Below are 26485 nucleotides of genomic sequence, written 5' to 3' on the forward strand. Positions count from 1 at the left end.
GGGCTCTAGAACACTATGAGCTCACAGTACGGTGGTGGAGACAAGCCACCACACACGCAGTTCCCACAAGGTGTCCCCAAGAACTTCGGAGCTCAGAACAGGTGATACTCACTCCTCCTTTGGGGAGAGGCCGTGGGCATGGCTTCACTTTTCAGCTGGATTATAAAGGATGTGAAGTTAGCCTGACTGAGCAGAAGGGGAGGGAAGACAGCACTCCAGGAAAGTGGAACGAACAACAGAGTCCAAAGGTAGGGAGGCATGAAAAGCCTGCCTTGTTTGGGAATGGGGAGCGCGCGGTGTGTGCAGTGGGGCATGAGATCCCTTCGGCCTCGGCATGGGCATCGCTTCCTTGGGAAGCCTTCCCTGAGCCCTAGATGGGTTTGGGTCTCCTTGCTGTATGTTCTCAGAGCTCTCTTGTAGACCTACCCTAATGCACTTTACATTTATGATGCTTGAGAAATCTATCTCAACCTGTGAGGTATAAACATGAAATGATGATTAAGACTTAGTAATGTCCATCTTACACTTCAGTCTGATATTTACCTTCTTTAGCCGTAGCCCAACTTGTAGTTTCAGGGACTTTCATGGTCCCTCTTCTTTTCAGTCCTGGATTGTTGAGATGGGGGTTAGGAGCAAACTTTTTTTTTTTTTTTGAGACAGAGTTTCACTCTGTCGCCCAGGCTGGAGCGCAGGAGCGCAGTGGCGCAATCTCGGCTCACTGCAGCCTTCACCTCCTGGGCTCAGGCTATTCTCCTGCCTCAACCTCTCGAGTAGCTGAGACTACAGGCACCCGCCACCACACCCGGCTAATTTTGTGTTTTTAATAGAGACGGGGTTTCGCCACGTTGACTAGGCTAGTCTTGAACTCCTGACCTCAGGTGATCCACCTGCCTCGGCCTCCCAAAGTGCTGGGATTACAGGTGTGAGCCACCGCGCCCGGCCGGACAAGCATTTTCTTAAGGGACCTCCTGTGCTGAGAGTTAGGGGCCATAGCAGCTTTACTGGATATTGTGGTCCGTTGGGGTTGAGAACACAATTTTTTTTTTTTTTTTTTTTTTGTAAGAGAAGAGGTCTCATTTTGCCACGCAGGCTAGTGCAATCATAGCTTAAGTATCGAATTCCTGGGCTCTCAAGGGATCTTCCCGCCTTAGCCATCCCGAGTAGCTGGGACTATAGGCGAGTGCCCGCCACCACACTCTTTTAATTTGTTCATTTTTGGTAGAGACGGGGGTCTCAACATCTTGCCCAAGCTGGTCTCAAACTCTTGGGCTCAGGTGATCCTCCAGTCTCAGCCTCCCAAAGTGCTGGGATTACAGACACGTGCCACCTCACCTGGCCGAAAAGAACTTTTATCTGAGGAATGAGAGTCCTTTTAAATTATCAGGCCCAGATGGCTGGGCGCAGTGTTGGTGTTTGCAACCAGCCTGGGCAATATTGCCAGACCCAGTCTTTATAAAAAAATAAAAATAGGCCGGGCGTGGTGGCTCACACCTGTAATCCCAGCACTTTGGGAGGCCGAGGCAGATGGATCACCTGAGGTCGGGAGTTCGAGACCAGCCTGACCAACATGGAGAAACCCCGTTTCTACTAAAAATACAAAATTAGCTGGGCATGGTGGCAGATGCCTGTAATCCCAGCTACTCGGGAGGCTGAGGCAGGAGAATCACTTGAACCCGGGTTGCGTGAGCCGAGATCGTGCCATTGCACTCCAACCTGGGCAACAAAAGCTAAACTCCATCTCAAAAAAAAAACAAAAAAAAAAAAAAAAAAAAAAAGCCAGGCGTAGTGGTGTGCACCTGTAGTGCTAGGATCTCACCACTGCACTCCAGCCTGAGCCACAGAACAAGACCCTGCCTCTAAAAAAAAAAAAATTAAAAAATAAATAAATCTTTAAAAATTAAAAATAAATAAATAGGCCCAGCGAGGCATTAAAATGACAGAATCAGCCGGGCTCAGTGGCTCACGCCTGTAATCCCAGCACTTTGAGAGGCCAAGGCGGGCAGAAAGTCAGGAGTTCAAGAATAGCCTGGCCATCATGTTGAAACTCCGTCTCTACTAAAACTACAAACAATAGCTGGGCATGGTGGTGCGCGCCTGTAATCCCAGCTATTTGGGAGGCTGAGGCAGGAGAATCACTTGAACCTGGGAGGCAGAGGTTGCAGTGAGCCAAGATCGTGCCACTGCCCTCCAGCCAGGGCAACAGAGTGAGACTCAGTCTCAAAAAAAAAAAAAAAGAAAAGAAAATGACAGAATCACATCCTATGCCTCCCTCCTTTGAGCTATGTATTCATCTCTTGACACTGCTTGCTCTTGCCACAAGTAGCTATAAATTAACCTAATAATGTTGTACTGGACATTCTAACACACACCCTATAGTTTAACAATGTATAGCCAATCAATAGCTTATGTTATTTTAATGTAAACTGTTGGTAAATAACTCAGGAACTGCCTCTTCTTTCCCTATAAAAATCCACTTGTAACTGCTGCTAATCAGAGTGTCTATTTAGGGCAACTTGAATCTATGCTCTTTCGTTGCAATCCTCAAGCTTATAATAAACTCTCTACTTGTATTCATTTTGCCTCAGCTTCTTCCTTATAGGTTGACAGGAGATTTGGGGGCTGTCATTCTGGCTGATGTCCTTAGTCTCATGACATTTTCCTCTTTGCCTTAATCACTGCCAGCAAGTCAGCAGCCACAATTTCTCCTACTTTCCATAGTCCAGTCTCATAGGGAAGGTTTGCCCCATTTCTGTGTCCCTCAAATTTGAAGAGTGGTTCTTGCCACATAACTGCTATACACTTTCTCACCATACCACACCTCTCTCCACCCACCCCCAACACCTACAACAGTAACAGTGCTTAGTAGACCTATGATGAATATTTGCGGAATGAATGAGATAGGGCCCTGCCCTCACAGATTTTACATTCTGTTTGGAGAACCAGACAATAACAAATTCAGTACACACATAGGAACTCACAGTTTGTGGTAAGGGCTATTAAGGGAAGAAACCTGCCAACTGCATCAAGGAGGAGCTACTTCAGATGGACAAATAGGAAGGAGTAATTTAGGTGAGTAGCAATAGTGGCTTGGGCTAGGAAACAGCATCAGAGAGAGAGAGGTGGTGTACCTTTGGTGGTAGAATTGGTGATTGATTAAATGGGGGTGGAGGGAGAATGAAGGAGAGGAAGAAATGGAGACTTCTAAATTTCGACCTGAGCAACTAGATGGATGTTGGTGTCATTTACTGAGATGGGAAAGACTGGAAAGGCATGAATCTAAGCTCCATTTTGAACATGTTAAGTTCAACCATTACAGGTCCACATTAATATATCAAATAGGCAATTGGACTAGGCACGGTGGCTCATTCCTGTAATCTCAGCACTTTGGGAAGCTGAGACTGGAGGAGGATCACTTGAACCCAGGAGTTCAAGAGCAGCCTGGGCAACATAGTGAGACCCCATCTCTACAAAAAATTAAAACATTAGCAGGGTGTGGGTGGCACACACTTGTAGTCCCAGTTACTCTGGAGGCTGAGGTGGGAGGATCGCTGGAGCCCAGGAGTTTGAGACTGCAGTGAGCTGTGATTGTACCACTGCACTCCAGCCTGGGTGACAGGAAAAAAAAAAAAAAAGCGGGGGGCAATTGGATAGACAGGTTTTGGATTTCAGAAGAGAGAGTTCTGGGGATATAAACTTAGGAGCCTCTGCATATCGACGGTGTTTAAAGCCATGGGATTAGGGGTGGTTTGGAAAAGAGGCTTAGGTCTGAGCTGTAGGGCCTAAGATTTAAAATTCAAGTTGAGAAGGATGAGTCTATAAGGGAGGGCTGAGAAGGGGTAGCCAGAAGGGCACGAGGAAAACCAGGAGCGTAGGAAATACTGGAAGGCAAGAAAGGAGAGTATTTTGAGATGGAGCAGCTGACAACACTCAGAACCCAACCAATGGCCAAGATGAAATAATCTGAGGCTGGCGTAGTGGCTCACACCTGTAATCACAGCACTTTGGGAGGCTGAGGCGGGTGGATCGCCTGAGGTCAGGAGTTCGAGACCAGCCTGACCAATATGGCGAAACCCCGTCTCTACTAAAAATATAAAAATTAGCCAGGCATGGCGGCATGTGCTTGTAATCCCAGCTACTCGGAGGCTGAGGCAGGGGAATCGCTTGAACCCGGGAGGCGGAGGTTGTAGTGAGTGGAGATCACTCCACTGCACTCCAGCCTGGGTGACAATCTGAATGCCAACCTACTGTTTTTTTTCTGGATCTCATCTGTAGGCTTGGGCTCTGGGGCACTTCTCAGCTTACTAGCAGTTCTCTGCTTCAATCCCACTAAACTTGAATCTACCTTAGAAAATGGAAACTGGGCAAGGCGTGATGGCTCACACCTGTAATCACAGCACTTTGGGAGGCTGAGGTGGGCACACTGCTTGAGCTCAGGAGTTCGAGACCAGCCTGAGCAATGTGGTGAAACCCTGTCTCTACCAAAAATACAAAAAATTAGCCAGGCGTGGTGGTGTGCACCTGTGGTCCCAGCTACTTGGGAGGCTGGGGTGGGAGGATCACCTGAGCCTGGGAGGTGGAGGCTGCAGTGAGCTGAGATTGTGAGACCCAGTCTCAAAAGAAAAAACAACTGTCTCCATACCTATGTAATTATATACACACATTCACCATGTACTTTCATCCATTATTATTTACTGAATAATGGATGTCCTTACATCCATTATTGTGTGCCAGGCCCCATGGATAAGATGGTGAAGAAAAAAACCCTAGTCCAGGCACTCAGGGAGCCCTCAGGAACTTACAGTGTATAGGAGAAGACAAGTATATAATTACCCAAGTAAGTATATGGTTACAAACTGAGAAGTGCCATAAAGGAAAAGCAGAGGGCATTGTGAGAGCCTGTCATAGTGTCACTTTGCTTGGATTATGCATAACATGCACAGCATCCACTCTTCACATACAATTCTTTGGTTTTTTTTTTCTGAGATGGAGTCTCGCTCTGTCACCCAGGCTGGAGTGCAGTGGCACGATCTCGGCTCACTGCAAGCTCCGCCTCCTGGGTTCACGCCATTCTCCTGCCTCAGCCTCCCGAGTAGCTGGGACTACAGGCGCCTGCCACCATGCCCGGCTAATTTTTTGTATTTTTAGTAGAGACAGGGTTTCACTGTGTTATCCAGGATGGTCTCAATCTCCTGACCTCGTGATCTGCCCACCTCAGCCTCCCAAAGTGCTGGCATTACAGGTGTGAGCCACTGCGCCCGGCCCACATACAACTCTTGACTGTGCCCAAAGGCCACTGTTGACAGACTTGAGGGATTGAGTCTAGCCTCAGTCCTGCTACAAACTCACTGAGTGACCTTGAGCAAGTCTCCCTTCTCTGAGCCTGCTTCTTCTATGAAATGGAGGGTTAGACTGGATCACATGTTCTTTTCTTTTTGAGACAGAGTCTCATTCTGTTGCCCAGGCTGGAGTGCAGTGGTGCCATCTCGGCTCACTGCAACCTCCGCTTCCCAGGTTCAGGCGATTCTCTGGCCTCAGCCTCCCAAGTAGCTGGGATTACACGTATGCGCCACCATGCCCAGCTAATTTTGCATTTTTAATAGAGATGAGGTTTCACTATGTTGGCCAAACTGGTCTTGAACTCCTGACCTCAAGTGATCCACCAACCTCAGCCTCCCAAAGTGCTGGGATTACAGGCGTGAGCCGCTGCACTCACTCTAGATCACAGGTTCTTAACTTAGGACCCATAGATGAGCTTCAGGGATACAAAAATGCATGGGAATTCTTGCCTTTTTCTTTCTTCTGGATAGTGGGCCCACAGCTTTTATCAGATCTTTATGTTGATGACTCAAAGAAACCCAAGGGCCCAAGAAGCAGATGGTTCTTTGATGATATAAGCAGGGAACACAGATGATAAAACAATGGACGCTAAAAGTGAGTTTTTGCTTTTTGGACAACATATCTCTCCCCTTGACTTCATCACGAGGGAGGATAAGGCCTGTTACTCCTCCTATGGATGGTGAAGCTTAGTCACCCATAATGGTGACCCAGAGAAAGGATGAGAGGAACCAACCATTGGTGGGTCCCTCTGCAGGAGCAGAACAAAGAAAGAGTGGGAACACACAGAAAGTCCATGTCATCCTTTGTGCCATCTGCCTCATGGTGACCTGCGCTGGGTCCACTCCATCTCATTCCCCCATCATTCCTGGCTGGGGTATGGACACAAAAAATATTTATCTATACTGGAGGCAAGGTTGGAATGTTGACACAAAGGAACTTTCATTAGAAACTAAAGGGAAGGTCTGTGCATGGTGGCTCACGCCTGTAACCAACACTTTGGGAGGCTTAGGCGGGCAGATCACATGAGGTCAGGAGTTTGAGACCAGCCTGGCCATCATGGCGAAACCCTGTCTCTACTAAAAATACAAAAATTAGCCGGGCATGGCAGTGCACGCCTTTAATCCCAGCTATTCGGGAAGCTGACGCAGGAGAATTGCTTGAACCCAGGAAGCGGAGGCTGCAGTAAAGCCAAGATCACGCCACTGCACTCCAGCCTGGGCGAAAGAGAGACACTCTGTCTCAGAAAAAAAAAAAAAAGAAAGAAACTAAAGGGAGGCCCCTCAAAAGAAAGCACTTTGAGATTAACTAAAAAGTCTGTAAATTAGAAATCTGTGATTCAACTTGTAAGAATGTCAGCTAAAAAACAGCTTGCTTGGCACAGTCTTCGGGACATCAGTGTCCTGTCCTTCCTTCCTTGTCTCCTCTCAGGCTGTGTGGGAGGGAGATTCATGTGGGGGCCTGAGGTTGGGTGGGTTTCCAACCATTCCAGAGCCTGTGTCTCAGTCTCATGCCAAGGTATGGCCAACTATGGAAAAGAAAGCCACTTTCTTGGGGATCTAAAAGGCTGCAGGTGCATTCGTTAGGGGTTGTGTAGTATTTGTAGGTGGGAGGGACAAAAGGCAGAGACGGCAGCCTGTGCATAGCCATTGTGTTTTATTAGATCTGGTATATTTCTTACTTTACAAAATATATAGAAGAGCCCAAAATGCAAAGCAGTCAACAGTCTTCTGATGGGGAAGGGGGCTCTCTGGGGGCTCTCCCCTCAGATTCTGGCCAACTGGGAGGGTAAGCTAAATGGGACGAGCAGGTGTGCTAAGGGGTGGCCGCATGGCTGGGGTGCTGACAATGGGGTTGGAACCTGGGTCCTATGGTCCCTGCCCTCTAGGTGTGCTAAGGGGCATCTCTGGGTAGATTGAGTCAAGCAAGAAGAGACCCTAGGGAACTGAGGAGGTTATCTGGGGTGGGGTGGGGAGAGCCCAGGTTGATTGAAGATTCTAGTGAATGCCCCCACACTGGGTTCAGATGCTATGCCTGCCTCCCTCCTTCCCTCTCCCTTCTAAGGCATCCACTGTGGGGAGTGATAGGCCCCAAGTTCAGGAAGGTCCCAAGTCTATAGAGAACATGGGAAACAAAAACTCAAGTCATAGCCCTCAAAACAGGGACGATAAGCAAGGAGGGTGGGATGAAATTTTGGCAGGCATCAGCCAGGACATCCCCCATCCACATTCCCCCACCACAACCACCACCAACACATGCAGGAAGGAAGGAGAGGAAGCAATGCCAGAGATGAGCCAGATATCTGGCCCCAGGCTCTCCATGGATACCGAGGAGGGTGTGGAAAATTTCTGGGGCATTTCTAAGGAGACAAGGTCTTCTGCAAAGCCTGGAAACTTATATTTTGATGGCCTGTGGTAGCAGACCTGTGGAACTTGGAGCTATAACCTGGTATGCCTGAGCAATCATAATCTGTCCAGGCCCTTCTATTCTCAACCCCAGCCACCTCCTAGGACCTATCCATTGACTCAGGCCCAAGATTTCTCCCTATACATTCTTGTCCCCCTCCCACAGGGCTCTCAATGGCTGGTCTGAGAAGCCAGCCAGTGCCAAGAATGGAGCATTCTCTCTGAGAGGGGAGTCTTAGGGGAAATGTTTATGAGGTCAGGGATGGGGGAAGCACCATAGCAGGAGACATCTGTCTAGTGTGTTTCTAGAGTAGGGGTAGGAGGTGGGGAACCGCTCAATTCCTACAGGAGGGGCACTCTCAACACTGGGTGTCAGGCAGGAAGGGGGTGAGAGCTGGTGGGAGTTGGGAACACCCCCCGAGATGCACTCTGCCCACTCTCTGGCCCCTTCAGCTCCAGAGATCTGGACTACTGAATCCCCAAGCTCTTGGATCCCTCCAGCCCCCAGGGAGGCGTAGGATGAGGATAGACCTGGGAAGAGAAGGGTGAGGTCCGCCTGGACTAGGGTTAGAGCATGGTCCCCCCAGGAAACACTGACCCCCTCTCCTGGGGGCTAGATGACATTGTCAAAGAGCTGCATGGACCTCATGATGTTCTCATCCTGTGGCCATGATGTGAGCGAGGCAGATTGAAGAGAGAGAAAGAGAAGGAGCTTATCAGAGACAGTGAGAGGGACACTGAGTCACAGACGGGGACATTCAAAAGCACAGAGGAAGGAGATGCCCAGAGAGACCTGAGGTAGGGAAGGGGTAAGCCTCCCACAAAGGAATAGGATTGAAATATGGGGGTGAGGTGGGAAGGTGGTATTCTTCCCAAAGAAGCTTTTCCCTGCATTACTAAATCAGGCCTGAGTCCAGGTCAGGGTAATGTAGAGGGCAGGGAGCTGTACCTTTTGACAAGACTCAATGAATTCCTCAATGGTCACCACACCATCCTTGTTTCTGTCCATCTTCTGCAAGAAGGTGGTCAGGCAGGGAGAACAGGAGGGATGGCAAGAGAGAGGCAGACAGAAGTCAGGTGAGTTCCCTGCTGGTTCTTGGCCTTCTTCCCTTCACTCCAGGGCCCTCCAGCCTACCCACTCCCAAGTACCTGGAAGAAGCTCTCCACGTGTTCCCTTGGGGCCTCCTCCCGGAGTGCAGGGTACGTGTACTTGCCCATCATGTCATAGATGGACTTCATGATGTCAAGCATTTCCTGTTAGGCCAAGAGAGAAGAGGATCCTTCCTCAGAGCCTCCAGCCTCCCTTGATCCCTTGCTTGTGGGCATATGTGGGTCATATTTCCCTCCCATCACCCTCTGCACGCCACCCCCATCACCGCCACAGACCCCCAGCCCTTCAGTTGCCCTGCACCTCCTTGGTGATGCAGCCGTCCTTGTTAAGGTCATACAGGTTGAAGGCCCAATTAAGCCTGTCATCTACAGTTCCCCGAAGAATCACGGACAAACCAGCCACAAAGTCCTGGGAAGGAGGCAGGAGGGAGCTGTGTCCTCGGGTACTCTTCACCCAACTCCTTCTCTGGGTTTGGCCTGGAGATCCTGGCCCTGAACTCCAGGAAACAGGCTTCCCTGGCCCACCTCGCCCAGCTCACCTCAAAACTGACCGAGCCATCATGGTTGGTGTCAAAGGCATTGAAGAGAAAAGTGGCATAGGTGCTGGAGTCTGCAGGGTGAGTGTGGAGAAGTTGGCTTCCACACAGGAGAGGACTTCCTCCCTCTAAGGAGCTCCCCATACCCCCCATCACCTTGGCATTCCCAGCTCCTCCAGAATCCCTCCCTCCCTCAGCCTAGAGAAGGACAACTGCTTCCCCTTGGGCCTTGTCCCCTCACCTCCTTGAGGAAAGAACTGGGAGTAAATCTGCTTGAAGTTCTCCTCATTGACAATTCCGCTGGGACATTCCTGGAAGGAGAGGGCACCAGGCTGAGGGCAGAGACAAAATCCCCTTCCGTTCACCGCCCCCACCCTCCATGGCCCAAGACTCCCAGGGAGGGGGATAATCTTCAAGCCTCCAGAGGACTCACCACGTGGCTCATGTGATGGGAGGGAAGACTTCTTTCCCAGTGCACAAATAAAAAACATGGAACGAAACTGACAGTCTACAGGCGCCACTTCCGTTCTGGCCCCGCCCCAGAACCTCCAGCTAGAAGTTCAGTCTCAGGGCCTTGCCTCCCTTCCGCCCACACCTCAAGCATCCAAGCCATGCTTTCTGGGAAGCTGTGGACCGGCTTGGGTCCTCCTGTCCCACCCTCGCTGAGTTTGGCCTCGCCTTGCACTCACGTTCTTGAAGCCCCGGTACAGGACCTGCAACTCCTTGCGCGTGAATTTGGTTTGCTCCTGCAGCTGCTCCAGACCCTCAGGCCGGTGACACACGGTGGACAATTCAAATTCATCGTCCACGCTGTCTGCGGGAGCGGTGAGGACAGCCGCGCCTCAGGCCCAGCCTCCGCGACCCCTCTTCAAATCACTGCCCCATTCACCCCCTCCCCGCCCCCCGGTCCCATCCGATGCCGGAGACCAGGCTGCCAGTTCCCTGGGCCCCGAGCCAAGGACACTGAGGTAAGGAGAAAAGATGATGGCCATCTTCGAGGTCTATCAGCGGGCCAAGGCCTGGCCTGGCCCCAGAGCCAGGGATCCGACTCAGTGCTCGCCCCGCGGCCCTCGATCCCTCGTTGGAGGGGAAGGCCCCCAGCCGCATCTTCGTTTTAGAAAGGGAGGAGTGGGAAAAGCCAGTTCAAGAGGGGGCGTCTGAGGGTCAGAGCTCCGGGCCTTCGGGGACCAACTCAGATCCGCCCAGCCCCAGCCTTGCCCCGCCCAAACCCTCCCCTCGTCCCACCCAGCCCCTCCCCTCGCCCCGCCCAGCCCCATCTATCCCAGCCATGCCTGAGCCATGCCCCGCCCAGCTCAGCCAACCTCCATCCAGACCCCACCCCCGGCCCCATCTCAATCCTGCCCCGCCCCCAACGTCCAGCCCCCAGGCAAGTGCCCCCCACCCCAAGATGGCAAAGCCGCCCTGCCCCGCCCCGCCCCCACCAGGAGCGTAAGTCACCTGGGTCCAGCAGGCGGGGTCTGTGGGGGCGGAGGGAGGCTGGGGCGGCTAATGCTGAAGGGAGCGAACTGTCACCGAGAAAGCGGAAGACCCGGCCAACTGCAGACACACACCTGGCCCCTCACACTCAGAGCAAACCTCACAACCCAGCCCGTGCAAAGGCACACCCAACCAGCACAGACACACACGAAACGGACCCCATGCACACAAGCTTGCGGGACTCACGCCTGTCCTTTTCCGAATCCACCCCCGTGTGGGACCCATCTAAGTCCAACACAACAGCATGCTCAAATAACTACAAAGCGGGCCTTTATGGTTTGCAAAATGCAGTATGATCCTATGAGGTGGGCAAGGCCCAACTGAGGAAATGGAGACCTAGAGACAAAGCGAGGTCACTCAACTGGAGATCACTCAGCAGGGGACCAGGCTGGCACAGAAAACCCAAATACCCTGGCGTCTGGAGGAGGGCAGGCGCCATCCTCTACACCTGTCACCATCCTGTCGGGGCATAGGCAACACACATCAGGGGTCCAAAACACGGTGGGGAAGGGGGCGGCCGCACGGAGTTGAAGACACTAACCCAGCTAAGCCACATACAGACCCTCACGGCCGCCTGGTCTACACAGGCCGCCACAGCTACACAGGCTCAGGCCTCAGCCTGGTCACAATGGTCACACCCACACTCTCGGGTCCCACAGTTTTGCGGGAGCGGTGACACACACCCGCTCCCAACTGACCACGCCCACACACGCTGGCTTCAGCCGCACACGCACACAGTAGCCACGCCCCCTTATGCTCCAGCCTTGCCAGCACCCGCCCTCGCCACGCTGGTCACGCCCACACACACACACACACACACACACACACGCACGCAGGCCTGGGGCACGCCCCTCCCCCACACGCAGGCGTGCGGCACGCCTCCCCATACACACACACACGCGCGCGGGCCTGGGGCACGCCCTCCACACACATGCAGGGGTAGGGCACGCCCCCCCACACACACACGCCGGCCTGGGGCACGCTCGCGCGCACATGCACACACATACACACGCACAGGCCTGGGGCAGGCCCCACCCCCACACACGCAGGCCTGGGGCACGCCCCCCCACACATGCAGGCCTGGAGCATGCGCACACTCGCAGGCCTGGGGCACACGCGCACACACTCATGCACAGACACGCACGCACACATCGAGCCCCGCCCCCGGAAGCACATGAGAGGCACTTGCTTTCACTGACTGAGGGCAGGGCTTGGGGCCCGCAGCACGGCAGCAGCTTGAGGAATCGCTGCTTCAGCGCTTTTTTAGTGGGCCCTGGAGGGTGGCCTGGGAAGAGAGAAGACCCCAGGAAGGCACATTAACTCCCATTGTCCCTCTGTTCCCTGTCCCCTCCCCGCCAGTCACAAATCAACCCCATCTGGGGACCGGGCTGGGGGAGGAATTAAGGGGAGGAAAGGAATGGCAAGGGTGGTTGGAATCGGGTTAGGGGAGCCCAGTGAGTCCATAGAGGTGAGGCTCAGGCACTTGGTTTAATGGGACGTGGCCGGTGACAGCGAGGCGGCAAGGATGAGGTGGCAGTGGCCTCAGTGTCTTTGCTGACCTAGTACCCTTGGCTCAAGTGCCATGGCTGGACCTCTCAGGATGATGTCCAACCCAAGGATTGCCTGGGTAAGAACACCTCTCTCATACACACACCTACAGTGACAGGCGTGTATAGTGACATGTAGAACAATACATCACAGTGATGGGTGCCAGTGACAGCTTGATATCCAGTAACTCACACCTGATGGCGTAATATGCATGCTCACACACACACACACAATGACCTGCTAACTCCTTAACACAAACATATACAAATGTGACCTAAGTAAAACAGGATGCATACACATGGAGACCCATATAGGCCATCTCACACACAGCATGATCAAACCACACAAGAACACACAATGCCTCTGGGACATCATGACATGTGAGTCTACAAAGAACACTATGACATTGTGACCTTATAACATTATGAGACATATCAAGGTTGTCATGACACATATCCATATCATACTGTGACCTGGGTCCCCATGGCACCCAGATATCTAAGGCTGTACCTCAATACCTCACCCACAGAGGCTTCATTTTTCCTGGGTACACCCACTTTTCTTTCCTGTAACCCCTCCTCATTCCAAGGTGCCCAGAATCTTTCTGCCAAAGGGCAGGGTTCCTCATCAGCTAACTCATCTACCCTAAACTGTGGCCCCTTCACAGTCTCTTCCAGTATGGCTTGCTCTTTGAGGGTGAAATAATAGTAAACTTTGTGGCAATAAGAGATCTTGGAGGCGAGTATTCTGGTGTATTGTGGGGCTATCCATGGCCCACTGATCATGGCTCCCCTTCCCCTCTTCTCCCTTATTTCTGCACATGCTCTACAGCTCTAATTGCACCCCCAGAGGACCCTCAGTGTTACTGTGTGTGTGTGTGTGTGTGTGTGTGTGTGTGTGTGTGTGTGTGTCTGTGTCTCCCAGCTGCACTGCATCCAGATTCCTGGATCAGATCCCACTGGATCTGACACAGTGACTAAAGTTGGCCTCAGTCCATTCCTGGAGGGGTCCAACTTCCTTTAGTTAAAGGTTACTCCCCCTCCATATACCCCACCCTCCCAATCCAGGCTTCACCCTCCAGATCAGGCCCTGTTCTCAGGAGGTGACTGGGTGAGTAACCACCTCCTCTCCTTCAACACATCCTTACCTCCCTCCCACCCCAGGAGCCATGGAGAGGTGGGAGGGAGGCAGTGGGCCAGGCAGGGGGATCGATGGCATTCCTGGCCTCTGGCCCAGGGCTCCATTAGCCTGGACTCTAGTTTCCCAAAGCTGGATTGCGCCTGGGGCCTCCAATGGTGTAGTTGCCCGACTCGGGGGTGGCTCTCCTGCCCCCCACCCCAGCCCCCTACCTGCTTCTAAGCCTCTGTCTCCTCTAAAGGTGAGAACAGAATGGCTGCCTTCAGCCCAAGACTCCTGGGATTTCCAGATGCCCTCTCTTCCCCCTTTCCCATCTAAAAGGAATGGCAAGTTAGAGCTCAATCAACTTCACCTTTTCCAGATTGAATGAGAACAAGCTCAGCCCAGCTGTCCCAGTTTATCTAGGTCCAACTCCCTGTTCCCCACTCCACCCCAATAAATGCAGCAGAGGATGGAGGGTGAGCTAGGAGTTTTCTGCTCTTACTGAACCCTAGAGCAGGCAATTCATGCACCTTCCTCTTGTTCCCAGTTTCCTTCATATTTTTCCAGTTCTTCCAGGTATCTACCCTGCAGTCCTCCATCATGGTTCTAGTCTGTCTTCCTGTCCCTGGTGGTACTGGGGAACAGCCATGCTACGGAGTTACACAGTTCTAGCCGTGAAGAGGAGGGAGAGGTCAAAACTCCCAAGGGGGAGGCAGAAGTGCTCCCCACTCCACCCCAATATTACTCTCCCTACTGACTTTGGGGTGGGCTGGGGAGGGGAGTTGATTTTCCACTCCCAATGTCTAGGCCCTGGAGATCACTCTGCACTTGGATCCTGATAGGAGCTTGGAGAGGCAAGGGGACTTGGGAAGCAGGGTCCCTGATCTGATCCACTCCTCATCCCCAATCATAGCTGGGCTATAAATGTCTCCTTCACAATGTTCACACTCTTCCCTCCAGAACCCACCTCCTCCCAAGCCTTGGGTATGGAGCTGGTATATCCTCAGGAAATTCTGGAAACAGCCACATGCACAACCTGATACCCAGAGGCTCAGCCACATACTGTGCCACTCAGGCCTGGCCACATCCACCTTCTCACAAAGCCACATGCCCTGTCACTCTCACACATACAGTCATATCCCTGTCCCATACACAGGCTCACAGTTACACACTTTGTACTCTCTCACATACAGGAACACAAAGTCACACCCTGTGTCTCTCACACACTATGCCCACACACCCCATAAGCTACACTGCACAGATGGAGGTGTGGAGAGGATGCACAGGCACCGTGGTGGGCCCCTGACTCCAAAAAGGACCCCCCAGAAATCCGTTGTTATCTCAGGATCCCTAGAACCTCCCTCCTCTACTCTAGACACTCCTTCCCTATCTCCAGACCCCTCCTGGTATCGCCCAGAATCCCCTCACCTCCTCATCTCCACACCCCAGTCCTCCCACACTGCACCCCTCATCACCTCCTGACACCTTGGTCCCCCAGATTCCCTCCTCCCTCCATATCTACTCCTTGAGGCCTCCTCTTCACCCCTCCCAGATGTTGTATCCCCCAAGCACCCCTACTCACCTCCCAGATCCCTGTGCCATCACTCACCTGCTCATCCCTGCCCCAGTCATGAAGACAGACAAACACCCTCCCTAGTGCTGTGGGGCAGCTGCCCCACCAGCCAGCAGCTCAGACATGCCAGGACACCTGGATTACCTTCCAAGGAGACAGGCTCAAAGAGGCCAAACTGCTCCAGGACCTTGACAAACAGAGCGAGGACCACGAGCACAGCAACCATCTCCAGCCCTTCCAGGTTCATGGTGGGCCTGGGGCATGGCCCCTACAGGGCCCAGGTTCAGATACGCCGGTTCACCGCCTCACACCACCTCCCCCTCAGACTCCCCAGCCTGAGTAGGACTGCCTGCAGCCTCCCTCCCACTCTCCCTCCCAGGATCTCCTTCCTCTCCCCCATCACCCCGCCTCTGCCCCACAAGCCTCCCAACCACAGCCGCCGCCTCTTCCTCTTCGCAGGGCCACCTCAGCCTTTGGACTGGCACCTCCTTGGGAACTTTTGGCCAAGATATGGGCCAGAGGGAGGGAGCAGTGACCCGCCTCTGTCCCTGAGAAGTGCTTCCCCTAGACATCCTGTGGCTACTCTGTGCCAAAGGGAAGGGGCAGAGGGAGGAGCTGAGCTTAGGGAGAAGGCAGGGAAGGGCAGGGTGTATGTGCATGAGAAACCACCATCTGCACATGTATAAGTAATCAGATGCATGGGTCAGAATATGTTGTGGTGGCCAGGTGTTTTCCTGTGTGTATATTCCTGTGTTTGTCAGTATGGCAGTGCATATGTCTCCTCTTATGTGTGTCTTTGTGTGCTTACACGTGACTGTGCACCTGTCACAGAGGTGTGTGTTTGGCGTATGGTTATGCATTTTGACTCTTGCGTATATGGGTATGTGAGCTGGGTGTCTATGGTCTGCATGTGTAGGAGTGTGTTGAAGTATTTGTGAGTGTGCATGGGGAGTGAGGTTCCTGTGTTTTAGTAGGGTTGTAGGATGTGGGTCTGAAGTTTGTTAGGTATGGATGTGTTGTATAATTTGGAGGGTGGGTCTACTGTTTTGTCATTGTATTGGCATGGAATTGTATGAGAATAATGGCGGAGAAGGCAGTGACCTCTCCTGCTAGGAGGATATCACCAATATCGATTTGGTTGCCATGGAGACTGTGAGGAGGGAAGCACTCTCTTCCCACAGGCCACAGGCAGTGAAACTGAGGCCCAAGGGAGGGGGGATAAGATACAGTAGTAGCCTAGGCAGAAAAAGGCCACTTAACCCCATCAGGACCCTCTGGGGAGGGGACTTACTGCAGCTGCCTTTGGGGTCAAGAAACCCAAGCTTCTTGGGAGAGGAGGGGGGACTGTGCTGGCTCCGTATGTGGCTGGGACCTCATCCGGGAGATGCTAAAGCCCTGCCTGCTCCTTAGGAACTGTTATTGAGCTGATGGAGAAGCCCAGCTGCTGTAGGAGGGAAATCTGAACCTTCTAAGGGAGCCACCCCTCCCAGCCAGCATCCCCGGAGTCCCTCCCTCCTCTTCCCTGCTTCTTCTTGGTGGGGTGTTTGTGTGTGTAAAGGGGTGGGGAGAGGCCTACAGAGCCAATGAGCCACAAGACTAGGGCCTCTGGGTTAGTAACACCATTACTACCGCTGCTGGCTAACGGTGACTGAGCATTCACTATGTACTAGATAATGCACTATGTGCTTACAGGTGTTGTAACACCGAATTTTCACAATAAGCCTATGAAGGCATACTATTATCCTCATATTACAGGTGGTGAAACTAAGTCAAAGAGAAGTTAAGCAAATCTTCAAGATCAGAGCTTCAATTTTAACCCAGTCTGACTCAGCCTTCACTCTAAACCACCACACTACACTGGCTCCCTTCTTAGAAAGCTGGCCCAGCCAGGAGGCCCAATTTAGGGGGATTGGCCCCAGAAGGAGCCCTCCCTCTTGTCCAGCTCTGGGATGACTGTGTCTCAGCCCAATTTGTGGGGTGGGGGCCAGTCCCTAAGGCCCCAGTCGAGGTTGGCTGATCTGCAGTTCTATACAGCCACCACCGGGGGGCACGCGTCCAACCTCACACAGTACCATACACCTTCCTTCTCCCCGACCTGCCCCATCCAGGGAAGAGGTGGGAAGATGACGCTTCACACAGGCTTTTTTTTCTCTTTTTTTTTTTTTTTTTTTTTGAGACAGAGTCTCGTTCTATCACCCAGGCTAAAGTGCGGTGGCGCTAGCGATTCTCGTGCCTCAGCCACCGAATAGCTGGGATTACAGGCGTGCACCACCACGCCCAGCTGATTTTTATATTTTTAAATAGGGTTTTGTCATGCTGGCCAGGCTGGTCTCGAACTCCTGGCCTGAAGTGATCTGCCCCCGTCGGCATCCCAAAGTGCTGGAATTCCAGGCGTGTGCCACCGCGTCTGGCCTCAAATAGGCTTGGTCTGTTCCACTCCTTTCCCCTAGGAAAAAGTCTATTTAGGGATTGCTTGCCAATCCCTAAAGGTTGGATCAGGAGTCCCAGACCAGCCTGGGCAACATGGCGAAACTCTGTCTCTACAAAAAATTAGCCTGGGCTGGGCAAGGTGGCTCATGCCTGTAATCCCAGCACTCTGGGAGGTCGAGGCAGGTGGATCACGAGGTCAGGAGTTTGAGACCAGCCTGGCCAAAATGGTGAAACCCTGTCTCTACTAAAAATACAAAAATTAGCCGGGCGTGGTGGCACACACCTGTAATCCCAGCTACTTGGGAGGCTGAGGCAGGAGAAGTGCTTGAACCCAGGAGGTGGAGGTTGCAGTGAGCCGAGATCACGCCACTGCACTCCAGCCTGAGCAACAGAGCGAGACTCTGTCTCAAAAAAAAAATAATAATAATTAGCCTGGCGTGGTGGCACACACCTATAGTCCCAGCTACCTGGGAGGCTAAGGTGGGGAGTTTGAGGCTGCAATGAGCCATGATTGTGCCACTGTACTTCAGCCTAGATGACAAAGTGAGACCCCATCTCAAAATAAACAAATAAACAAAGATAATATTTATCCAGCACATTTTGTGTCCTGGATACTTTACATGTAGTATCTCACTTAGTCCTCATAATAAACCTGAGAGGTAGGATCTATTATTCCTGTTTTTACAGCTGACATGGTCAGAGTGAGTGATAGTATACCCATTTTGCAGATGAAGGAATTGAAGCTCCCCGCCAAGATAAGCTCCCTGCTTATCTTGGGAAAAAAGAGTGATTTTTTTTCCAAGATAACAGCTGACATGCTAATTAAGAATGAGTTTGGCTGGGTGCAGTGGCTCACGCCTATAATCCCAGCACTTTGGGAGGCCGAGGCGGGTGGATCACAAGGTCAGGAGTTCAAGACCAGCCTGACTCACATGGTGAAACCCCGTCTCTACTAAAAATACAAAAATTAGCCAGGCGTGATGGTGCTTGCCTGTAATCCCAGCTACTCAGGAGGCTAAGGCAGAATTGCTTGAACCTGGGAGGCGGAGGTTGCAGTGAACTGAGATCACGCTACTTCACTCCAGTCTGACTGAAAGAGCAAAACTCTGTCTCAATAATAATAATAATGATAATAATAATGAGTTGTTTAACCAGAGTCAGTGATCTGTCAGCTCCCTCAGGCAGTCTCTCCAATATGTGCGGGGTGTCAAGGAATCCTAGGGCCTACAGCTTAGTTTAGGTAAGGGAGCTATGGGTAATAAAATCAAAAAGGGTCAAATTCCATGAAACCTTGAATGCCAAGCCAGACTATTTGAATGGAAAGGGGCCCCACAACAGCCCCTTCTTGCTCCCTGCTACTGATAACTTGCAGCCAGTTGCCCTGGACCTGGCCCTGGCCCTGGCCCCTCCTTTTCCTAACTCCCACTCTCAACTCTCAGAGACCTTGACCCAGCCTTGCCAGGACTCATGGTCCTAAATCAGCCAGGCATCCTGTGGCAGAGTCTGTCAGGAGTGAAAGGATGAGTTATTTTTCCAGGCTGTCCCTTCTCCCCACTCAGAGACTTCTCAAGTCCTCGGGTTCAGTGAGAAACTTGCCAGATCCATCCTCCCCAAGCATCCCTGTGCCACGAATTTAGCTCTTCACTCAAAGTAAAATCTCTGTGGAAGCAATTTGGCAGAGTGGGAACTCAAGGGAAAACCATCTCGAGGCATGAGGTGGGCCTTCCCCAGATCCCTCAAATCTTACCACAGAGATATTCCTATCATTTATTTATTTATCTCCCCCAGTTCAAATGTGAGTAACACTGCCTTGTGGGGGAACCCACTCTATGCAACTGTCCCACCTTCCCCAGTTTAGCTTTGTCCCACCCCCCACCGCCACTGTTAACCCAGCCAGTGAAGACCTCAAAGCCCTTCTCTCAGTCCCCCAGACCCACACCATTCCCAGCTAGGCCAAAGACACTGCAGCCCCCAGCTGCATCGAGTGATTAATGACCTCCCTAGACGTTGGGGCTATTTTGGGTCCTGGAAGTCATGCCTGCAATGACTGAGAGCTGGCCCTGCCTGGCTCCAGCCATCTGTCACTGGAGACAGGCCCAAGCAGGGGGCTTGGAGGTTGTATGCTCCCCAGAAGATTTCCAGGTATGGTTCTGGCTCAGGACCATCCATCTACCCTCCTTTTGGGGGACAGATGGCAAGGAGAGGCCACAGGCCCTATCTATACTCCAGGGGCTCAAGTGGATACCCATGGAGAGAGCCAGAAAATGACAGATCTCAGAATGCCACAGGACCAGGTTGTTTTGGTCTGTTTGAGGTCAGGTACAGAGGAGACGTTGCGTTCTATGGGCCCTGCCCAAGCAGTCATAAGGAAATGCAAGTGGAGATGTGCATACACCTCAGCAGTGCCGTGGGATACTCAACAATCCACACCTCATACACTCCACAAATTTCACACCAAGGTACAACCTCACGAAGGCTACACAACCAACTTAGAGGCTCAGGAACCCTCAACCCAGTCCTAAAGTACAGAACTCCAGGTACACACAGTCTCAGTGTCACAGAATCCCAGTGATCACAACCCCAGGGAGACACAGACTCAGCCATACATAGCCCAGTGATGCACAACTTAGTAATGCACAATCCCATTAATACACACTCCCAGAGAGAGAGAAAACAGAGACATACAATCCTTAAGCCACACAAGTCTATCAGTCCCATGTCATGTATGAACTTGCTAGCTGAGTTCATGTTGGTCTAGGCCCATCTCAGGGTTTTTTCCTTCTGGACACTGAACCCTTCATCTTAAGACCCCTTCAGCCAAGAAATGCAGGAAAGGACTGAACTTTTTCCCTGCTCTGCTGCAGGCCTCCTCCTTTCATCCCTGGGAGGCGCCCTGCCCCTCAGTTAAGGCCCCCTCCTCTGCCTTCGGTGAGAAGCCCCGCCCCCTCCACCATTGTGAGGGACCTTGATGCCCCTCTCCTTTCCTCTTTGAAGAGCGCTGTCTTCCTCCTGCTCAGTAAGGAGGCCCATCCCCTGCTCCGCTTCTGTCCAGGATCTCGTCTTGGAAGCCCTTTCCTTGGAGGGATGTTGCTCCCTCCATCTATTTGAGGGGCCCTTCCCTCCCTACCTCTGCGGAGCTCCTAACCCACTTCGCTCACTTTTTGAAGGATCCTGCCCCTCCCTTCCCTTCCTCATCATACCTGGGGACAGCGACCCAGTCACCAGCTGGTAGAGGGATCGCGCTGCCTGCCCCAGCGGGCTCCGGCACCTGCGGGGGCATCGGTTCATGGTTTGGCGGCGAGCTCGGCGTCTAAGCTCCACCCCCAGGCCCCGGGGCGGTCCGGTCTCCGCCCTCACCCGGGTAGGCCCGCGTGGGCGGCGCGGGAGGGCCGGCCCGGCAGGCATAGGATCGAAACCCTGGAGCCTTCCCATGTTCTCCTGGCCGCACGAGAGGAGCTCACCCTGGCCCCATCATGTGAAGCAGCCGCCCCCAAAGTTCCTGGACGGGGGGGGGGGGTGGCGGGGAGGGGCGGCGCGGACTCAGCCTTCTCAGGGAGCATTTTTCTGGGTTCTGGCGGGGAGGCCAGGCAGGCACATGTGGGTTTTGAGAAAAGAGCTGGATGGGGAATGAACCGTATCTTTTATTGCCCCCTTTCAGCCCCCCTTTCTCCGCCTGTCGCACTCCTCCCCGCACCCTGCACCCCGCCCCCACCATTTTGGCATAAAGAGCCGAAGGGGTAAGAGGACAGAGTTGTCATGGCAACTCCCCACACTTCCTGGGCCAATGGAAGAAAGCCAGGAGGAAGGAGAAAGAGGCCAGTGTATTGGGGTGGCAAAGAAGAGGCAGCAGAGTTGTGCCCCACTGCCTTCTGTCTCCTGGCTCCAAATTCCTTGCTCTCATAACTGTTTCTATTTGTGTTTGTCTCGGTGCGGCAGGTTCACAGACTACCACCATACGCTGGCTACAGCCGAATGCTTCGAGAAGAGCCCCCCCCGCACCCCCCCCCCACTTCGGTCCCGCTGCGCCCCTTTCCTGGACTCCGGACTCATCTCTATCAGGTTAGACCCCAAGTAAACACTTCCAGGACTCTCTAACGCCTTAAAATTCCTGGGAAAGCCTACGGGAGAGATATAGTCCCGCTCTTTCGACTGGGATCCCGCATGATTGGTTGAAAACCCTACATTTAAGTGGTGAGAATGACCTCCTAACTCTGGGCAAATCTTGTCCACTTGACGGCGACTATCCCCACCGCAAAGCAGCTCCGTGCGCATGGCTCCTCGCAGCCACACGGGGGCGCCCCCGCCCCGGCAACAATACTCAGGGCCGGAGGGACTCCACTGAGATCCCAGTCGGGGGACCGAGCTCAGGGCTAGCCAGCCAGGCTCCAACCCTCTCCGCATCTTCTCTTGGCCTTTCTCTCTTCCGCTCAGACAGGGCCGCTGCTAAACGCGGCCTTTCCCCTCGGAACCGCACTGCCCAGCGGCCCCGCCGGGCTGGGAAGACCTGAGGGATTAGACAGGGGTCCGGGCGGGGCTCGGACTGTTTTTTGTTTTGTTTTGTTTTCCTAAAGAGTCTCTCCCAGCTCCCTTTTGAGCTTGGGGTGGGAGTGGGGAAGTAAAATGTTCGGAGGTACCCAGGATGCCCTGAGGTGTAACTTTCCAGCTGCTTCCCTGCAAGCCTGATGGGCCGGGAAGACGGGAGCTGCAGACTACCCTAAATCCGATCCCAGGAATCCCAACTGCAGGGAAGGGGAGGCGAAGCCTGGCGCGCGCTTCAGCACCGCGGACAACGACTCCCCTTCATGCTTCAGCTTAGGCATCTCTCAGCGCTCAGAGCTCAGCGCCGCCCGCCCGCCCGGGAGTCTTCGTTGACACTGGCGTCCCAACCCGATTTGTCTCCCGCTATAAAATAAGCCGCCCTTCGAGAGGAGAGCTCCTGGTAGTCCTATTTCTACTTTCCAAGTCGTGTGTGGAGCTATCTACAGCTAGGCTGCTGTAGACCCGGACCACAATTCTTGATACTTGTCAACATTTGACCTTTCCATTTTCCTTGGGAGGTAGGCAGGCAGGCAGGAAGTAACATTCCCTTTTACAGATGAGAAAGGTGAGGCCAAGAGAACAAAAGTCACATAGCTGGTACACTTCCATTCCTGACTGAACTGGGGCAGGGCATCTCCAAATACAAATGCTTCCCCCACCCAATCTCATTCAAATAGCCAAGTGGGGAAGGGATGGTTTCACTAAGGGTGAGAACCCATTAAAGCTGGAAGCAAACACTGACTAATGTGATACTATTGAAGGCCCCTAGGCCCTTACTACTCTCAAGAATCCTAAGCTGGTGATGGGAACAGAATTCATGGAAGAGCTGGACAGTGGGTCCTTTGGATTCCATCCAGCTCTGAGGCACATCTGGCATGGTCTCTCATCTGGGGCCAGCCTGAGTGGCTCCCCTGATCCTGACTAGGGCCTCCCTAGGGACAGTGATGGGGGATGGGGGAAGACACATGCTCAAGGCACCTCATCCTAGTCCCCTCCCCCTTCCCAGGTCTCAATCTCACTCCCCTCAGGAAGGACAAGGATCATGGCCTCCCTCCACCTCCCCAGCTTTGTTTTGGCCTCAGGGAGACAGCCTCCCTCCTCCCACTCTGCTGGCTTTCTAGAGCAGGCTGCACAATGAGAGACACAAACACATACATGGAAATGTACCCAGGGTGACACAGTCACCTACACAAACACATGGCTCTTCCTACCAAACCCAGGAACATGCACATGCACAGATGTACTGGCCTCACATACCTCCCCATGTGGGAAAGAGAGGATGCCCGGGCAGCCAAGTGGTTTGGTGGACATGCAGGACACCACATGGCACTTCCCAGGCCTAGAGCTTCTAGCTCTGTCTCTGGAGGGGAAGGAAGAGGATGTGTTTTCCTGGGGTTTGAGTGAAGTTCTGAAAGGTTTGTTGGGGGTTGAAGGATTCAGTTGTAAGAATAATCTCAGTACATGATTTGGTGTGGGGAGAGAGGGCTGACCCAGCACTAACTAAAGCCTCCCTACAGGGGCCAGGTGCTGGAGCCATAAGGTCTCTTGGAAACCAGACTGGGCAGCTGAACACTAAAGTCCCTCCTTGGGTCCACCTGGGCTATTTGTGGAAAAATTGGTGAAGGAGTGGGGTGTACTAAAGACCCCTATCTGTACCAGGAAGCCAGAGAGGCAGCAGGGATGAGACACGTCATAGACACTCACAGAGCCCCGCTGCAGACATCACCACATGAAAGTACACAACTAGCACTGAACACTAATCTCACAACCACAAAACACAACACAACCTACTTTAACAAATTCTTGCCCAGAGGGCTTATGGTCATGAAGGCTTACAAAGAGACAAGCCACCCTAAAGTAGAGCCCTGACACATTCTGGTAGTTACACACCACTTCATACAGAATTACACACTCACAACACATCGTTGCACATAGAGACACATGGTCAAAACAACTTCATCAGTACAACCAGGGTCCTACGCAAACTCAAACATCTGACGAGACCATACAATTGCACTGCCACATACAATCACACTCACCCTAGCTGTCACCAAGCCCAGGGCACATGGCAACCAGCTGTGGGAGGTGCGCGCGCACACACACACACACACACAGAATGACAGGTGCTCACGCACGTAACACCTCCCACTCCAGACACCCTCTCAGCCCTGTGTCACATACGCCCACACCTGCTGCCTCTCCACACCTGCCTCTTCTGTTCCTCCCCAACCCCTGCGGGACCCAAGGCTTTGAACCCCCAGTGTCCTGCCGCCCAGACCGGCCATAAGAGTGCCTGGGAATGGGGCAGAGTGTGGGTGCGGGCCAGGCCGGGGTCGGAGAGGCGGAAGGGTCTGGAGGAATGGAATCCACCCTCCCTCCCGCGACCCCCACGTCACTGACTCACCCGTGAGCTGGTCGTAGGAGCCGTCCAGGTCTCGGGAATCGGACAAACTCTCCTTGCGGCCCTGGCCCCGCATGGCCCCCGGCGCCCCGCTCCCGCCCGGGCCGTGGGAGGGGGCGCCGGGTGGCCGGGATAGGGCGCTCACACGGCGCCCCCTGGCGGCCTACTGTGCTGTCGGGGCTGGGGAAGTCCGGGCTGAGGCTGAGTCTGGGAATGGGCCCGGGGTCTGAGGTCTACCCGGAGGTCCTGGAGCAGGAGAGGGAACACTAGGCAGCAGGTGAGCGCAGAGCCGGAGGCAGAGCGGAGCTGAGCGCGGAGCCGAGCCGAGCTGCCTCTCTCCTCCCGCCCCCTCCCCGCGGCTGTCACCGCCTCCTCCCCTCTTTGGCGCTGCCGGGATTGGCTCCCCCTACCCCCGCCCCCCACCCTTTGCAGCCCGGGGGAGGCACCCGGTGAAAGGGTGAACTGCAAAGTGCGGGGAAGGAGACTAGCTCCCCAGCAATCTGCCCCTAAAGCAGAAGTCACGGGGCTTGGCGGGGGGGGGGGGTGGGGGAGGAGGAGAGCGCGGGACAGAAGAGCCCCACTGAGAGGAGGAAACCCCGCCCCCAATTCTCAGGCACCCCGTCCCCCTTCGTCAACACAGTTCTGGCTGAGGCAGAGCCTGGGGTATCATATCTGAGTCCCCGCTCCGTTTGTCTCCATGTCAGCCTGTATTTTCTCTGTTGTTCCTCCTCCCGTGTATGCGTCTCTCGTGGTCCCAGACAGTCCCCACCGTGCTTAAAGCAGGTTAGGGATGCAAAGGAAGAGTCAACCCAGCCTCTAATATTAGCAGGCTCATCGTGGGCCAATGGACTACTGTTTCATCTTCTCTCAAGTTCCAGAAGGACCCCAACTCTCACCCACTCCAGGACCCCGTCTCTGGAACCTATTCACTCTCAGGGTGCCTCCTTCACTGATCTAATGAACCCCATAGGCCGACTAGGAAGATAAAAAAACTAGTGAACCAGGTCAGTTTCTCAAGACATCCTTGCTCTTTTGTTCCTCCCCTGCAGCAACTTTTCTGCCCTTCTCTTTTGTCACCTGTCCTGTCCTAGATTCCTTGTTTTCCAGCAGATATGGGGAGCAACTGACAGGTTTGGGGATCCAAGTCAGGATACAGAGTAGGAAAGAAATGCCCTTGTTATGAAACCCCTTCCTTAAGATTAGCTCCTTTCCAAAGGCAGGGCTAGCACGGAAGCTGGGCTGCCTCATCTCCCAGGAATGGATCCTGAGTGTTTTGAGCGTCACAGGTCTGACCTTCCTCAGGATGCTTCCTGGGCTCCACACCCAAAAGCCCCCCAACCCGTTGCTATGAGGATGAGGGGACCTTGTCTGGTGGGTCCAAAGGAGTGACCTGTTAAGACCAAAAACTTTAAAGTGACTCAAGCACACTTAATCTCTTCAATTGGCTTTAATTTCCAACCACTTGATTTAATCAACCCAGCAGGAATTGTGGCGGGAGTTCAGGCCTAAGAGGGGGACAAGTGGCTGAGGGTAAGATTGTCTTTAGGAGCAATGCCCTGCGCTTGGATCTCCCTTGGCTCTGGAGGAGGCTCCACAGACCTGGTATAGAGGCTGGGCATAGAAAGTGCTTGGGCAGCTCCTGTTAAGGTTGATTTCCAGGAGAGAATGGGCACTCTCGTTTGGAGTTCTGGGATAGGTATATGTGAATAAACTGGTCAAGAGAAGGGCCTTTACAATGGAGGGCAAGGAGCCCTCTGCTTAGTGCCCCATGCCCTAGACCTGTCCTCATTCACTTGGAGGAAAGGCTGGCAGGAATCCGTAAGTGGCCAAATGGGTTGGCTTGCCTCCTCAATACCACTAAGTTTGGAGATAAGGGAACTAACTCTCTTCTCCCTCCTTCTACCCAGAGGACAAGAGAGGTTACAGCTCTCCGAACCCAACTGACCTCTACTAGGGCCAGGAGACTCAGAGGAAGGAGGAGAGTTCACAAGGG

The 26485-nt window shown here is 53.2% G+C and overlaps 1 protein-coding gene and 1 long non-coding RNA gene across 13 annotated transcripts, besides 13 other annotated features; one reads left to right on the forward strand and one right to left on the reverse strand.

Moving 5' to 3' along the window:
* The first annotated feature begins 67 nt into the window (after window positions 1-67).
* KCNIP2-AS1 (KCNIP2 antisense RNA 1) lies at window positions 68-9889 on the forward strand. Its single transcript, NR_045118.1, has 3 exons — window positions 68-248; window positions 8860-8939; window positions 9181-9889. It is a non-coding gene; the product is annotated as a KCNIP2 antisense RNA 1 (long non-coding RNA).
* Window positions 5792-6086: an enhancer, noted in NCBI's record as "tiled region #4495; K562 Activating DNase matched - State 5:Enh". NCBI's record gives its function as "activates a minimal TATA promoter and a strong SV40 promoter by Sharpr-MPRA in K562 cells {active_cell/tissue: K562}" and the evidence as "EXISTENCE:reporter gene assay evidence [ECO:0000049][PMID:27701403]".
* On the reverse strand, window positions 6974-24800 carry KCNIP2 (potassium voltage-gated channel interacting protein 2). 12 transcript variants are annotated; one of them, XM_006717812.3, is made up of 10 exons: window positions 24496-24800; window positions 12072-12167; window positions 10844-10897; window positions 10075-10199; window positions 9627-9696; window positions 9389-9459; window positions 9151-9258; window positions 8889-8993; window positions 8689-8751; window positions 6974-8270 (listed from the first exon to the last, which is right to left on the reverse strand). In XM_006717812.3, exons 1-10 carry the CDS (start codon window positions 24566-24568, stop codon window positions 8208-8210), a joined length of 828 nt encoding a protein of 275 aa, XP_006717875.1. In that variant the 5' UTR covers window positions 24569-24800; the 3' UTR covers window positions 6974-8207. The 12 variants fall into 12 exon arrangements, with proteins under 12 accessions (XP_006717875.1, NP_775283.1, NP_055406.2 ...); NM_173191.3 differs by having other exon boundaries at window positions 6974-8400; NM_014591.5 differs by having other exon boundaries at window positions 6974-8400; window positions 10844-10942.
* Window positions 8586-9785: an enhancer, noted in NCBI's record as "CDK7 strongly-dependent group 2 enhancer chr10:103587343-103588542 (GRCh37/hg19 assembly coordinates)". NCBI's record gives its function as "activates an origin of replication core promoter dependent on BRD2, BRD4, P300/CBP, MED14 and CDK7 cofactors, with strong dependence on CDK7, by STARR-seq in HCT116 cells {active_cell/tissue: HCT116}" and the evidence as "EXISTENCE:reporter gene assay evidence [ECO:0000049][PMID:35650434]".
* Window positions 10565-10614: a silencer, noted in NCBI's record as "silent region_2729". NCBI's record gives its function as "represses an Ori minimal core promoter by ATAC-STARR-seq in GM12878 lymphoblastoid cells {active_cell/tissue: GM12878}" and the evidence as "EXISTENCE:reporter gene assay evidence [ECO:0000049][PMID:35858748]".
* Window positions 10735-10834: a silencer, noted in NCBI's record as "silent region_2730". NCBI's record gives its function as "represses an Ori minimal core promoter by ATAC-STARR-seq in GM12878 lymphoblastoid cells {active_cell/tissue: GM12878}" and the evidence as "EXISTENCE:reporter gene assay evidence [ECO:0000049][PMID:35858748]".
* Window positions 11625-11704: a silencer, noted in NCBI's record as "silent region_2731". NCBI's record gives its function as "represses an Ori minimal core promoter by ATAC-STARR-seq in GM12878 lymphoblastoid cells {active_cell/tissue: GM12878}" and the evidence as "EXISTENCE:reporter gene assay evidence [ECO:0000049][PMID:35858748]".
* Window positions 11840-12356: an enhancer, noted in NCBI's record as "H3K27ac-H3K4me1 hESC enhancer chr10:103590597-103591113 (GRCh37/hg19 assembly coordinates)". NCBI's record gives its function as "activates a minimal SCP1, AML or CMV promoter by ChIP-STARR-seq in primed H9 embryonic stem cells {active_cell/tissue: H9 hESC(primed)}" and the evidence as "EXISTENCE:reporter gene assay evidence [ECO:0000049][PMID:30033119]".
* Window positions 16992-17286: a silencer, noted in NCBI's record as "tiled region #3638; HepG2 Repressive DNase matched - State 12:CtcfO". NCBI's record gives its function as "represses a minimal TATA promoter and a strong SV40 promoter by Sharpr-MPRA in HepG2 cells {active_cell/tissue: HepG2}" and the evidence as "EXISTENCE:reporter gene assay evidence [ECO:0000049][PMID:27701403]".
* Window positions 16992-17286: an enhancer, noted in NCBI's record as "tiled region #3638; K562 Activating non-DNase unmatched - State 12:CtcfO". NCBI's record gives its function as "activates a minimal TATA promoter and a strong SV40 promoter by Sharpr-MPRA in K562 cells {active_cell/tissue: K562}" and the evidence as "EXISTENCE:reporter gene assay evidence [ECO:0000049][PMID:27701403]".
* Window positions 17116-17245: a silencer, noted in NCBI's record as "silent region_2732". NCBI's record gives its function as "represses an Ori minimal core promoter by ATAC-STARR-seq in GM12878 lymphoblastoid cells {active_cell/tissue: GM12878}" and the evidence as "EXISTENCE:reporter gene assay evidence [ECO:0000049][PMID:35858748]".
* Window positions 17456-17956: an enhancer, noted in NCBI's record as "H3K4me1 hESC enhancer chr10:103596213-103596713 (GRCh37/hg19 assembly coordinates)". NCBI's record gives its function as "activates a minimal SCP1, AML or CMV promoter by ChIP-STARR-seq in naive H9 embryonic stem cells {active_cell/tissue: H9 hESC(naive)}" and the evidence as "EXISTENCE:reporter gene assay evidence [ECO:0000049][PMID:30033119]".
* Window positions 20837-21026: a silencer, noted in NCBI's record as "silent region_2733". NCBI's record gives its function as "represses an Ori minimal core promoter by ATAC-STARR-seq in GM12878 lymphoblastoid cells {active_cell/tissue: GM12878}" and the evidence as "EXISTENCE:reporter gene assay evidence [ECO:0000049][PMID:35858748]".
* Window positions 24312-24817: an enhancer, noted in NCBI's record as "H3K4me1 hESC enhancer chr10:103603069-103603574 (GRCh37/hg19 assembly coordinates)". NCBI's record gives its function as "activates a minimal SCP1, AML or CMV promoter by ChIP-STARR-seq in naive H9 embryonic stem cells {active_cell/tissue: H9 hESC(naive)}" and the evidence as "EXISTENCE:reporter gene assay evidence [ECO:0000049][PMID:30033119]".
* Window positions 24773-25022: a silencer, noted in NCBI's record as "silent region_2734". NCBI's record gives its function as "represses an Ori minimal core promoter by ATAC-STARR-seq in GM12878 lymphoblastoid cells {active_cell/tissue: GM12878}" and the evidence as "EXISTENCE:reporter gene assay evidence [ECO:0000049][PMID:35858748]".

Source organism: Homo sapiens, chromosome 10 (assembly GCF_000001405.40).
Source record: "Homo sapiens chromosome 10, GRCh38.p14 Primary Assembly".
In the NCBI taxonomy this organism is placed as follows: Eukaryota; Metazoa; Chordata; class Mammalia; order Primates; family Hominidae; genus Homo; species Homo sapiens.